General features: G+C 37.2%; 1 annotated feature.

The window, feature by feature from the left end:
* Window positions 12,024–12,073: an enhancer, noted in NCBI's record as "active region_1239". NCBI's record gives its function as "activates an Ori minimal core promoter by ATAC-STARR-seq in GM12878 lymphoblastoid cells {active_cell/tissue: GM12878}" and the evidence as "EXISTENCE:reporter gene assay evidence [ECO:0000049][PMID:35858748]".

The raw sequence follows: 13,234 nt of genomic DNA, 5'->3' as shown, positions 1-13,234 counted from the left end.
TAATGTACTTAAACAGTTAAGTTATTGGTAGCTAAAATAGTAAAGGTTCTTTGAGTTAAAATGCTTTTATGGTTACACATTTATTTATACACCTAATTGTTCAACAATCATTTCTTTGGCATCTGTTCTGCACTAGGAACTACTTTGGGTACTCTACACAGGGACAAAGCTGAAGAATGCATATCCCTTGCTTTTGGAGGGCTCAGGGTGTAGTGAGTAAGATACGTTGTTAAATATACCAAAGTAAGTACGTTAAAGAATCTGACATATAAGAACTGATACGTCTGTGACTTTTTCTGCCTCAGAGATTAGGGAGAAATTTCATAGAGTGATATTTGAGCTGAATTATGAAGGCAAGAAAACACCCGAAAATTTTTTTTTAATAATTTTAAAAAGGAAATATATAAAAGGTGAAAACTTAATTCCAGACAATAATATGTTCTTAGTTTTTGAATACTACTGACCCTGACTTTTCCTTATTATAAGTGAGTTAGAGTTTTCTCCCATTTTGTTGTATGTAAGTCTCTGGAAATTGTATTTGCAGAGCATTCCAAAAGAGCTTGAGCCCAGGGCAAAACCATGGCTTTTTATTTGGGCTCTTGCAGTTTCATGGATGCATAATTTGAACAATTATTTCAGTTGCTTAAGCTAATTGAGAAACTCAGAAGAAGAAGAGTGATTATTAGTCGTTTTTAATAATTTAAAATGTATTTCTTATTTGTAGAGTTATATTACAGATTCACCCTATATGCTTTGCTAGTTGGTGCATATAAATTTTTATAATGTATTGTTGTCAATAAAAATAAGTTGCTTTCTAATTGTGTGCATGTGTGCCCTATAGAATTTTAAAGAGCAGTGCTACAGCATTTCCTTTTGTGGGATTCCAAAATTCAATCTCGTGTTCATTCATATGATGATATCAGAAAATATAATTTCCTAATATTTACGGGGTATTGTAATTACCTACTTTTAGCTTTGCATTTTTGCACATGCAAAACTTACTCTTAGACACATTGGTAAGATTTAAGGTACTAAGAGCATACCTTGAACTTTGATAACCTTGCTACAGATTTTCTAACAGCCACATACTCTCAGTTCTTCTTTTCGTCAACGTGAGCTTCACTTCTAGTTTTTCAGAAGTGTCAGAAAATCTTGTTTAGGTAAATAAAATACAATTTTAATGGAGTTGCATATTGGTTATCTAAAAAATTTTTTTTGAGCTCTGTCCTTGCTTGGCTCAGTGTGATGAGGACTTTGCAATACCTGTCAGGGCTGTATTTCAATGATGCTTGGACTACTAACCTGAGCAGACTATGCTGGAATATGCAAGGACACTTGCCTTAGTGCTAAAGGCATATGCTGCTCATCTGTACATCCTGTCAAATCTTTTTTTTCTCTCATTCCAATTTTTCTAATTTTTTTGATGTACAGTTTCGAATGATACAACTAAAAATAGATTTATAATGGTAGTTTATATATAGAATTGGTCAAGTAAGGTTTCCCTGGAGCAGATTGTTTTCCCTCCTTTAAACAAAATCAATAGCCCATTTGAACTTAGAGCCCTTTATCTCCCGAAAAGAAATAATGATTTTTAGGTATTCCATATACAGGGGAATGTTCCATAGTTTGATATCAGAGCTTCTTTTATGAAGCAACACTCCTACTTGGGACAACTCAAAAAATGATGAGGGCAGCAAGGAGCTGATCTCTTCCTTGCCCCTTCATCTTGACCTTTTATGTGTTGCTATAGGATCCTCTAAAATTAATAGTATTCAATTATTATTATAAAGCTACAAAATTTAAATGTAATACTTGAAAAAGACAATTCTCATGTATTATTTGCCTCCTATGTGTTAGGTACTTTTGTGATTGTGCTGCAGTACCAGAATCCTGAGAAATATCAGTCTCCCTACTTATTTTGTATCTGTGGAAAAACAGATGCTAATTCAGGTTCACCTACTTGCCCAAGTTCTCACTGTGGTAAAACCAAGACTCCAACAATCTGTGCTTTCTCCAAAAAAATCACCCTCTCAATTTGGAAATACTATAACTAGACTATTATAATAATGGATTAGAAAATGATTCTTTTGTTCAAAATCAGTGAGGAAACTGTGTGTGGTGAAGAATGTCAGACCAAAAAAAAAGGCACTAGATGAAGAAAAATTTCAATAAAACGGCTTGTTCAAGGACATTTTTCACTAAAATGTAATATATTTTTCTGATGTCAAAATTCTTAAAAGAGCAAGACATTTATTTCAATTTAACCGAAATTTAATGAGCACCCTTGATGTGCCTCCAACATTGTGATAGATGGTAAGATCCACTGAATCCAAAGTGGAACTACACTAAGCTATGGAGGTTTTCCCTTCAGACCCAAGGCCCTTGGTAAAGGAAATAGGTATCTGAAGCTCTCAGGTCTTTGAGGTTGAAAAATAAAGCCACAGGCACCATTGAATTCTATAAATAAAGGCTATAAAACTCTTACTTCTCTGTGACTCTCCTTTAAAACATCCCTACACATAATTATTGAATCTTTACAACTGTAACAAGGACTACCCAAATGTGAGTTTAGTCACCAGAACTTCTTAACCTTTAGTGCTACTGGCTGAGGAGAAAGGTTCATGAGATCACGAGTTTGGGATTGCTAATAATTTTTCTAAATCTTTCTTACTGACAAAAGATATAAATTGTTTAATGTGACACCCTCCCCAACTTGGGCACTTTATGTGTCATATTCTCAAAGCCATTATCTTTGTCACTCAGACTAGTATCTACTTTCACTTATTTATTCCAACAAATGAGAATTGAACAAGTAAATTCTATACCATGGAATCATGTTTGACTCCTCTGTGTCATATCTTACATTCAAAGGATCAGTACATTTGTTTGATGCTACTCCAAAATCTATACAGAAACTAATCACTACTTCACCTATATCACCATGGTACAAATCCTTATGATATTTTGACTGAACAATTTCCAATGACTTTCCAATCCACTTCCTGGCTTTTATATTCCATCTCCCTTAAACAGTCTACTTTTAACAAAAGAGGAGGCAATCTTCAGATCACTTCTGATCCAACTTTATTGACTTCCTGCTTCACCTACCGTCAAATCTTAACTCTTTTAAAAGGCCTACAAATTGTATTACATCTGTTTTCTGCTATTTTTCTGACCCCATCTTTGATCACTCTTTTCCTCTCATACTGTTCCATAAGATGTTGTTCCATTTTGCTCCATTAGATTATTGAGAACAGAGGTGTCTGTTTTGTTTACTGCTGTTATTTCCACATTTACAGAACCTAAAACGGTATATGGCACATATTAAGGGAATATTTAACACTCAAAGAGGGTCAAGAGGTAATTGTGTAGTTTTCAAAATATGAATTCTCATGCACATTTTTAGTTTCAATAAGGGCATGTATTTAAAAGTGTTACACGTTTCCCTCAAAGTACTCTTTCCAAGTAAAAGTTAAAAGTCTGGTGCAAAAACCATGCTTCAAGCTAAGAGGTTTTTTCCAATAGGTTGTTGATCACTTCCCAATACAATTGCACTTTGTATCTCAACCTATTTGGGAGGATAATCCTTTTTGTGTTGGGATATGCTGTTTGTGCAGTGAAAAATATTAGTTATTATAGGTGTGATTAATATAAATAGCAATAGTTTACTTTCTTAAATTATCTAAATCAACTTTAAAATATATAGGTTTTTAGCACCTTTTAAAGGAGGACATTGTGTGTCTGGTCTCAGGTTAGCTCTCTGTATAGACATTTGTATAGATGTTTATTCAACTATTTTACGTGGATAAATACTAGCACATACAGTGAAAAGTCTACTGCCCACGAGTCAATATGTCCTAGTTATCACCCTCCCAACTCAATTTTGATAAAATCCAAATTTGTTTTTTTTTCCTTTTATAAATTCTCTAGTTTAAAAGGAAGTAGAATGTAATCCTCTCTAAAGTTTCCAGAATATTAATAAAAACATTATGTTGCCCATAAAACTGTAGGTGTATTTTGAACCGATTTTATATCAATCTTTTATTTTGAATGCTCATAGCTTTGACTTTGGCACAGGCTACAAGAAATACACTTTATAAGTCTCTTGCTCCCAAGTCTCTAAATTGCACATTCTGAAAAACTGGCTATTTCTGCACAGAACATAGAGATTGAATGCAAGGCTATAATTCACTTTCAGGTTTTCTGCTGATGACATAAACCACCAAAGCTTGTTGGTTTATGAACAACAACAGGACACAGAGACTGAATTATGGCATGTGTCAGTGATGAGAGATAAAGAATTGGCATCCACAACCCAAAGATAATAGTTTTATTCCATTAAATTTGAGACATAGAAAAAACCAAGATTTTTAAACATTTAAGAAATAGTTCATCACTGAAAAATTTTATAGTTAATGAAAAGAAAATATCAAATCTATGCTCAAAAGAAAATAAAACAGAGATGATGCAAGAAAGTCCATAGGCAGACCTGGCATTTTACATAACTGAGATGTTTCTGAATTTGCTGAAAAATTACAATTTCTCCCTTTTGGAAGTAGCACCTTACAAAGCTTTATACTAGCTTACTCACTGCCCGGGCTTTGGAAAGTGAAACACTTACTAATAATGCAAGAAGATTTGTCTTTTTTATTTCTTGATGTCTTTTGAGAAGAAGAAGTGAGAATATAGGCAAAATAAGTAAAAGCCACAATATGCTATTTTACGAGGGTAGTCATTAAAGTCCATTCTTAACATTCTTACAGCACTCTTTTTTTTTTTTTTTTTTTTTTTTGAGACGGAGTGTCGCTCATGTTGCCAGGCTGGAGTGCAGTGGCGCCATCTCGGCTCACTGCAAGCTCCGCCTCCCAGGTTCACGCCATTCTCCTGCCTCAGCCTCTGGAGTAGCTGGGACTACAGGCGCTCGCCACCATGCCCGGCTAATTTTTTGTATGTTTTTAGTAGAGACAGAGTTTCACCATGTTAGCCAGGATGGTCTTGATCTCCCGACCTCGTGATCCGCCCGTCTCCGCCTCCCAAAGTGCTGGGAGCATTCTTTACCTTTCAACTTTCCAAAATGGTGCAGGCACCAAGTTTAAAACAGTGAATGGAGCTACAAAGTTATGCAGAAGCAGACACTAAGCTACAAGCTGTGTGCTAATTTGATTTCCCTAGAGGCAACTCTTGAGGTAAGGGTTGTAAGGTGGGTACTTTACTTGGGAGGTACTGAGAACATGGGTGGGGAGAAAAGAAGTGTTACAGAAAAGAAAGGTAGCTACTAAGTGGCAGTTTATTAAACCTACATGGCTACTGGAGCTTAATCTCACAGAGAAACTGGGCAACAGTGTAAAGCAGTGCCTTAGTGTTACTGCACAGGAGGACAGAGGAGCTGGGTTAGTACATATCGTATAATCATTGGTTGAATATTGCCTAGGGTGAAGGTGGACTGTGTTAATGTAGAGGAAGCCTGCAGGCCTAGAAGACAGATGCTGGCAATTAGAAGTCAAGGTCAGAGGGCTATAGACAGGGCACTTCTAAGTGTCAGCTATAGAGAAAATGTTTGGGGACATTGCCAAACTGAGTTTGGGAGCCAGGGTGGCTTGATTTCTAGTCTCAGCTTTTCCATTCCTAAGTAATGCTGTTATGAGCAAGCCCCAATCTCCATGCATTTCTGCAAAAGAAATAGTTGAGGCAGATAATTTTTAATCGCCCACCCCTTGTGATATTTTACAGACTTGGGATTTTCCATGGTGTCAAATTATTACATTTCTTAGGGCTGAGCCCATATATTTGAGGAGTCAAGTCCTGGCTTAGTGTCTATCACATGACACTGTCGGGGCTCAGAACACGATACCCCAAAGGATGGCACCTTGGCATGCTGAGTATTTTGAACTGAAGGATATTGGAAGGGCCTCAGAAGCAAAGTCTCAGAAGCAAAGTCTTCCCCTGTTCTCCTGTCTCCCACACCTCTTACTTCCTCAAACCAAGTCATAGATACTAGAATTTGTCTTCTCCAAAGGGGTCATAGAAATTAAAACTCTTCTCCCCCAAAGCAAGCCATAAAACCCCAAAAGGCCACTCTCTTTCTTCTTCCTTCTTTTTCAAACTCTCTAATTTCAGAAGGGTCCTGCCCTATACCAGGGGGAAGGACTACTACACAGAAAAGCCAAGAAGAATCTGAACAGACAGACCGTGCTAGGTTTCCCTGTCAATTTCCACTAGACTATACCCTTTTGTCCAATTGCATTTTTCCACAGTTGTCTATTCTGCATGTGACCTGGATCTTTGGGTCTTTATTCCTGAGGATTCCCATGTCACATAAAACTGTAATTAAATAAATTTTTTATGTTTTCCCTTTGTTAACCTGTCTTTTGTTACAGGAGTGTTGGTCATGACCCTATAATGGGTGAGGACCCCTCTCTGTCCCTAACCCTCCCTGTGCTTCACACACCCTTCTCACACCTGCCTCCACATGTGGGTAAATGGTGCCCACATCCACCCACCTCTTTAAGATTCTGATTTCTTCTTGTCCTACAGTCAATTCCTTCAAAGTCATCTTGGTTCTGCCACCATGATACATGTCAAATCTGACCATTGTCACCCTAACCCAAGCCATTATGACCCCTAGCTAGCCTGCAAAAGAGCATTCCATTATTTTCCTATAATCTTTTCTTCACAAAAGAGCCAGTATTCCTTTTACAACATGAATTTGTTTTGCTGCTTCAGAAAATTTATATTATAATGAGATTAAAATTCATCTTACTTATCATGACCTACAAAGCAGACCCTTTATTTTCTCCTCTGTTTAACTCTCCCATATCATTTCTCATCACTCTTCCTTTACTTTTTTCTGCTTCTGATACTTCAGCCTTCTTTCTGCCTCTATTACAAAACAATCTTACTCTATTCTCACTGTCTAACTTACCTAAAATGCTTTTCTTCAATCTCAGCAGGATTATATCTCTTCAGGTTTCACCCTAAATTCTCCTTTTTCAGAGAAAGTGCTAAAATTGTACTCCCAAGCGATCACTATATAGTCCACATTTTATTTTATTCAGAAAGAATTATTTATTATCAGAAAGTATCATTATCAGAAAGCATTATTATTGTTGTCAGAAAGTATCATTTATTTTAGTTTTCTCTTTGTTTTCTACCTTTTTCCAACGTAATTTAAGTTCCATGAAAGCCAAACTTTAAATTTATTCATTCATTTCTGTGCCCTCAATACTCAATGCAAGAAACTTGATAATGGATAGATACTCAATAAATATTTGTCTAATGAATTATGGCTCTTTCATAAATTGTTGCTGATTTGAACAGAACTCCTAATTTTTAGATATATTCATTGATATCTTGGGCTTCAAGGATATGAGATACAATATACCTGGTATATAAATCCACTATGTAGAAGATACTGAGGTGTCACTCTACAAAGTTAACTTCAAGGAATGTTTTGGTAGGCAGAATCATTATTTGAGGTCTCCCCAATGATGTTCATATTCTAGTTCTCTAAATATGTTAGATTATATCACAAAGGAAAATCAAGGTTACAAATGGATTTAAAGTTGCTAGTTAGCTGTCTTTAGAGAGATTGAGGTGAATAATCTGGGTAGGCTCAATGTAATCACAAGGATTCTTACAAATGGAACAGAAAGGCAGAAGAGAAGAGGAAGATACAGTGGTGACTACAGAAGAATGATCTGAGAATATTCAATACTTCTATCTTCCCTTTTGAAGATAGAAAGAAACTGCAAACCAAGGAATGGAGGTGGCGTCAAGACACTGGAAAAGGCCCTGCTGAGATCTTAATTTTAGTCCAATGAGACCCATTTTGGACTTCTGACCTCCAGAACTGTACAATAATAAGTTTGTGTTGTTTAAGCTGTTATATTGGTGATGGTTTGTTAAAGCAACCATAGGAAATTGATACAGGTAATGAGGGCACTGATACAACATCTGACACTGGAGAAAATGAAGAATGATAAAATAACCTAGAGAACTAAGAAATATTATTTCCATCTCAAATATAAATACATGCCTTAAGTAGTTCCAAGCTAGGATAGTTTTATGGAAATGTTTTATGTTTAAATTTATTCTTACCTGTGAATAGATCATCATGAGAGCCCTATGAATTCTTACTATTCCCATTTTACACATGAATGACCTGAGGTAGTGAGAGGCTAAGTGCTTTGTCAAAAGCTGCACAAAAAATAAGCAGCAGATTCAGGACAGGAAACTGTAGGTAGTATATGAGAGTGACAATAATCTTTCCTTGAGGACTGTAGAAATATATAATTCTAAGGATGGTCAATGATATGGTTTGGCTCTGTGTCCAAACCCAAAATGCTAACAGTGGTGTGGACAATGAAGTCCAGGCTAAAGTAGTCTCAGATGGAGATGAGGAACCTCTTTGGAATTGGAGCAAATGTGACTTTTCCTTGCTTTAACAAAGAGACTGGCAGCATTTTGCCCCTGCCCTAGAGATCTGTGGAACTTTGAACTTGAGAGAGATGGTCTGAAATTAGAACTTATGTTTAAAAGGGAAGCAGAGCACAAAAGTGTGGAAAATTTGCACCATGATAATGCAATAGGAAAGAAAAACCAATTTTTCTGGGGGGAAATTCAAGCATGAGTAACAAGGAGCCAAATGTTAATAGCCAAGACAATGGGGAAAATGTCTCCAGGGCATGTCAGATATTTTGGTGGCAGCCCCTTCCATCACAGGCCTGGAGGCCTTGGGAGAAAAAAAAAATGTTTTCTAAGCCTGGCCCAGGGCCCCCACTGTTGCATGAAGCCTCGGGACTGGGTGCTCTGTGTGTATCCCAGTCTCTCCAGCTCCAGCTGAGACTAAAAGGGGCCAAGGTACAGCTCAGGCTGTTGCTTCAGATGTTACTTCAGAGGGTGCAAGCGCCAAGCCTTGGCAGCTTCCATGTGGTGATGGGCCTGTGGGTGTACAGAAGTCAAGAAATGAGGTTTGGGAATCTCTGCCTAGATTTTAGAGGTTGTATGGAAACGTTGGGATGTCCAGGTAGAAGTTTGCTGCAGGGGTTGATCCCTCATGAAGACCCTCTGCTAAGGCAGTGCAGAAGGTAAATGTGGAGTTTGAAGCCCTCACACAGAGTCCCTACTGGGACACTGTTTAGTGGAGCAGAGAGAAGAAGGCCACTGTCCTCCAGATCCCAGAATGGTAGATCCACCAATAGCTTGCACCATGTGCCTGGAAAAGCCACAGGTGCTCAATGCCAGCCAGTAGGGGAGGTGCCCAAGGCCATGGGAGCCTACCCTTTGCATCAGCATGTCCTGTATGTGAGACATGGAGTCAAAGGGCATAATTTTGGAGCTTTAAGCTTTAAGGACTGCCTCACTGGGTTTTGGACTTACAAGGGGACTGTAGCCTCTTTGTTTTGACTATTTTTTCCATTTGGATGGGTGTATTTACCCAATGCCTGTACCCCTATTGTATCTTGGAAGTAACTAACTTGTTTTTGATTTTACAGCTCATAGTCAGAAGGTGACTTCTTGCCTTGTCTCAGATGTGACTTTGGACTTGAAATTTTGGGTTAATGCCGGAATGAATTAAGACTTTGGGGGACTGTTGGGAAGGCATGATTGGCTTTGAAATGTGAAAAAGACGTGATTTGGGAGGGGTCAGGGGCAGATTGATACACTTTGGCTCTGTGTCCCCACCCAAATCTCATCTTGAATTGTAATCCTCATGTTTCGAGGGAGGGAGGGACCTCTAATCTCCACATGTTGAGGGAGGTAGCTGATTGGATCATGGGGGTGGTTTCCCTCATGCTCTTCTCATAATAGTAAGTGAGTTCTCACAAGATCTGATGGTTTCATAAGTGCTTGAGTTCCTCCTTCACACACTCGATCTCGCCTGCCACCATGTAAGACATGCCTACTTACCCTTCTGCCATGATTGTAAGTTTCCTGAGGTCTCCCTAGCCATATGGAACTGAGTCAATTAAAGCTCTTTTCTTTATAAATTACCCAGTCTCAGGCAGTTCTTTATAGCAGTATGAAAACAGGCTAATACTGTCATGAAACCAATAGTCAATAAATCAATGAAAATATATGAAAAATCAACTTAAAGAGAAAGAATAACTTCTAGTCTACTTCCATTTTGTTAGTATAATCAGTAGATCTAAAGGTGATTTAATATAATTATGCCTTTTAAAAATGTTTACTTTTTGAAATCCAAAGAGGTGTTTGTAAACAATAGAAACACAGAAAATAGAAGTAGGTAAGAGAAGTCACACTAACATTGGCAAAGCTCTTTCAAGTACTTAATATGTAAAAAGAAACTCTAATTCCGAAAGAAGAATATTACATTTATCAAACAAATATAATCCTTTATTTAAGAGAGTTATAATTACTGATTGTAGCAAAATGACATTTAATTCCTGACACTCTGATTCTGTGTTCAACAATCAATTTTCTGAATTATCGTTTTTGTTTTCTTTACCAAATATGAATACATAAATTAATAAAATTCAATATTCATCTATATATTATCTCTAGTCCTTGCATCCACCCTATCAGGTTAGTACTTATTAAACCCATTTTGCAGATTAGAAACAGAAGATTTAAAAATAGAACTTAAAAAAAGTCATCAAAATCCTTTATTTTCCACATGTTTTTACCAAGAAAAAAATGTGTCTCTTAGTGAGACTGAGTAGACACAGAGAGAATGGGCCTTCTAGAGAGAGCAAGTAGTCAGGTAGTTCTCATCATAAATTAATATATTCACATTCTATATTTTTATTTTTTAGATGTTTTGTGAGCAGTTGTATGAACCCAAAATGGAGTCAAGAGCTGGACTTAGACAGATTGGAGCATAAGATCACAACTGCTATGAAGACATCAATTATGGCCAGACATCCTTTACTAAACGGCATCCCTCTGACCCTGCACAATTTTTCAAATTGTAACAGAACACAAGTCTTCCAATGCCAGTTTTTTGTTTTTGTATTTTTCAGAATAGAAAACAATGTACTGAGGAAAACAGAAAGTGAAGAAAGTATAAGGTATGAGGGTTACAGTTACTTTCATGGGAATGGCAATTCTTGGATTGTATGTTAAATATCAAAGCACTGAAACCCAAAAGAAGTGGAATGGGTAGGATTATTAGGCAAAACATAAGACATCCAGTTATATTCTAATTTCACATGAACAATGAATACTTTTTAGTATAGCTATCTACCAAAGATTGCATGGTACTTGCCCAGTGAATGTCCACTCTCGCTATTTTGGTTGGGGTACACTTAGACTAGAAAAGTTTTTGTTGTCTATTTGCAATTAAAATTTAACCAACCATCCTGACTTTTTTTTTTTTTTTTTTTTTTGAGATGGAGTCTCGTTCTGTCACCCAGGCTGGAGTCTAGGCTCACTGCAACCTCTGCCTCCTGGGTTCAAGCAATTCTCCTGCCTCAGCTTCCTGAGTAGCTGGGATTACACGCACGTGCCACCACACCTGGCTAATTTTTGTATTTTTAGTAGAGACAGGGTTTCACCATGTTGGTCAGGCTGGTCTCAAACTTCTGACCTTGTGATCCGCCCACCTCGGCCTCCAAAGTGCTGGGATTACAGGCGTGAGCCACCGCGCCCGGCCTGACTTTTTATTTGCTAAATCTGGCAGCCTTAGGAATGGGGGCTGGACTGAAAGCACATTTGTATGAACATGTGTAGGCAAACAGCTCAGTTGATGAATTTGAAGCTGGGTTTCTGGTGGAAATCCAAGAATCACTATAATTTAAATTTTCAAGGCTACATAAAGGCAATACCATATAGAGCAATGCTTTAGAACATCATTCAGTGGAGTCAGACAGATTTGAGTCCTGGCTTCTCTAACTCATATCTTACTGGTGTGACTCTATGCAAGTTATTTTCGGTGTCTTAATTTCAACCTCCTCATAGTTAAAAATTGAGATAATTATCTCTTGGTGTTTTACAAGGATTGAACGAAATAATTCACAAAACTAAATTTTAAAATACCATTGAGTAAAACATAAACAAGAAACCCCTTGAGAGTTGGAGGTTTCAGTAAGCTGAGATGGCGCCACTGCCATCCAGCCTGGTGACAGAGCGAGACTCTGTCTCAAAAAAAAAAAAAAAAGGAATCCTCTTGATACTGTTGCTCGTGGGCTATAATTTTTAGCACATCTTAGAATGACTAACAGTTAAAACATGTTAATAAAGCACATTGTTGATAACTGCAGGTAGAACAACACTAAAACATCAAATCCTCAATACAGTTAACGAGAAACAGTCTAAGGCAAAAGGGACTGAGGTTTTGGAGGTAGAGAGAAACTTTCACCTGTCATAGCATAGCTTAATGTACTGGAAAAATTTTGATTTTTGTTTTTAACTTTTACCCTATGTATGTATTCCTTATTGAAAATGTTGAACAGGAAACCATCTAGCAGTCCCTGCTGAACCTCAATATCAGGTTTTCTAAAACCAGCACTGAGATTAGTTTTATTTTAGAGACCACTGAGGAACAGAGAAAAACACAGAAGAGATTCAAGGGCAAGCATGGGCTTCAGCTTCTCGGACACTTAAGCACCTGAAATAGAAACAGAGAAACCATAAAAGTTGTAAGTTTACCTCATCTGCTCCATCACTGTATTTGTCACAAGGGGAATCAGTTCACTTTTGGTAACTTCCTTCTTAAGAGTACTGTCATCCCCTCAGTGACACATTGGCTGCCCAGAGTTTCATCAACAGTGAAACAGCCAAAGCTGACCATATAACTTTCATTCTCAAAGAAGAAGCATTCCATGTTATTGATAACATCCACTGGTTAAGAATTCTGCTCTTGATGATGTTAAGAGAGTTGACATATTTTCAATATCAACTGTCATTTCTCAAGCTGTAAGCATAACAGATGTTTGTTGAATAATACTCAGGTATTTCTTAGATGGGTGCAGGACACCTAATGTCTACTCTAAACATAAAATCTATTATTGAAAAAATATATAATTGCTGGACCATTGCTGTTGTTTTCAGATACAACTGTATTTTTTAGGTTAAAAAAGTTTTGTACAATAGTCAATGGATGTTGCATTGAATCCTGAACACTGCTTTCATTTTATTGTAGTTTAAATGTAAAATAAGTCTGTTAACTAAAATGGAAGTCACCGAGTACTGAAATTTTGGAGACTCAGCTTGTCAAGATTGTGCTTTATTAACAATATTATATTGAAATAACTGGTCCTCAGATATGTTAATC

The sequence above is a fragment of the Homo sapiens genome, chromosome 1 (genome assembly GCF_000001405.40).
Source record: "Homo sapiens chromosome 1, GRCh38.p14 Primary Assembly".
Taxonomy (NCBI): Eukaryota; Metazoa; Chordata; class Mammalia; order Primates; family Hominidae; genus Homo; species Homo sapiens.
This window is presented reverse-complemented; position numbering and strand designations above follow the sequence as displayed.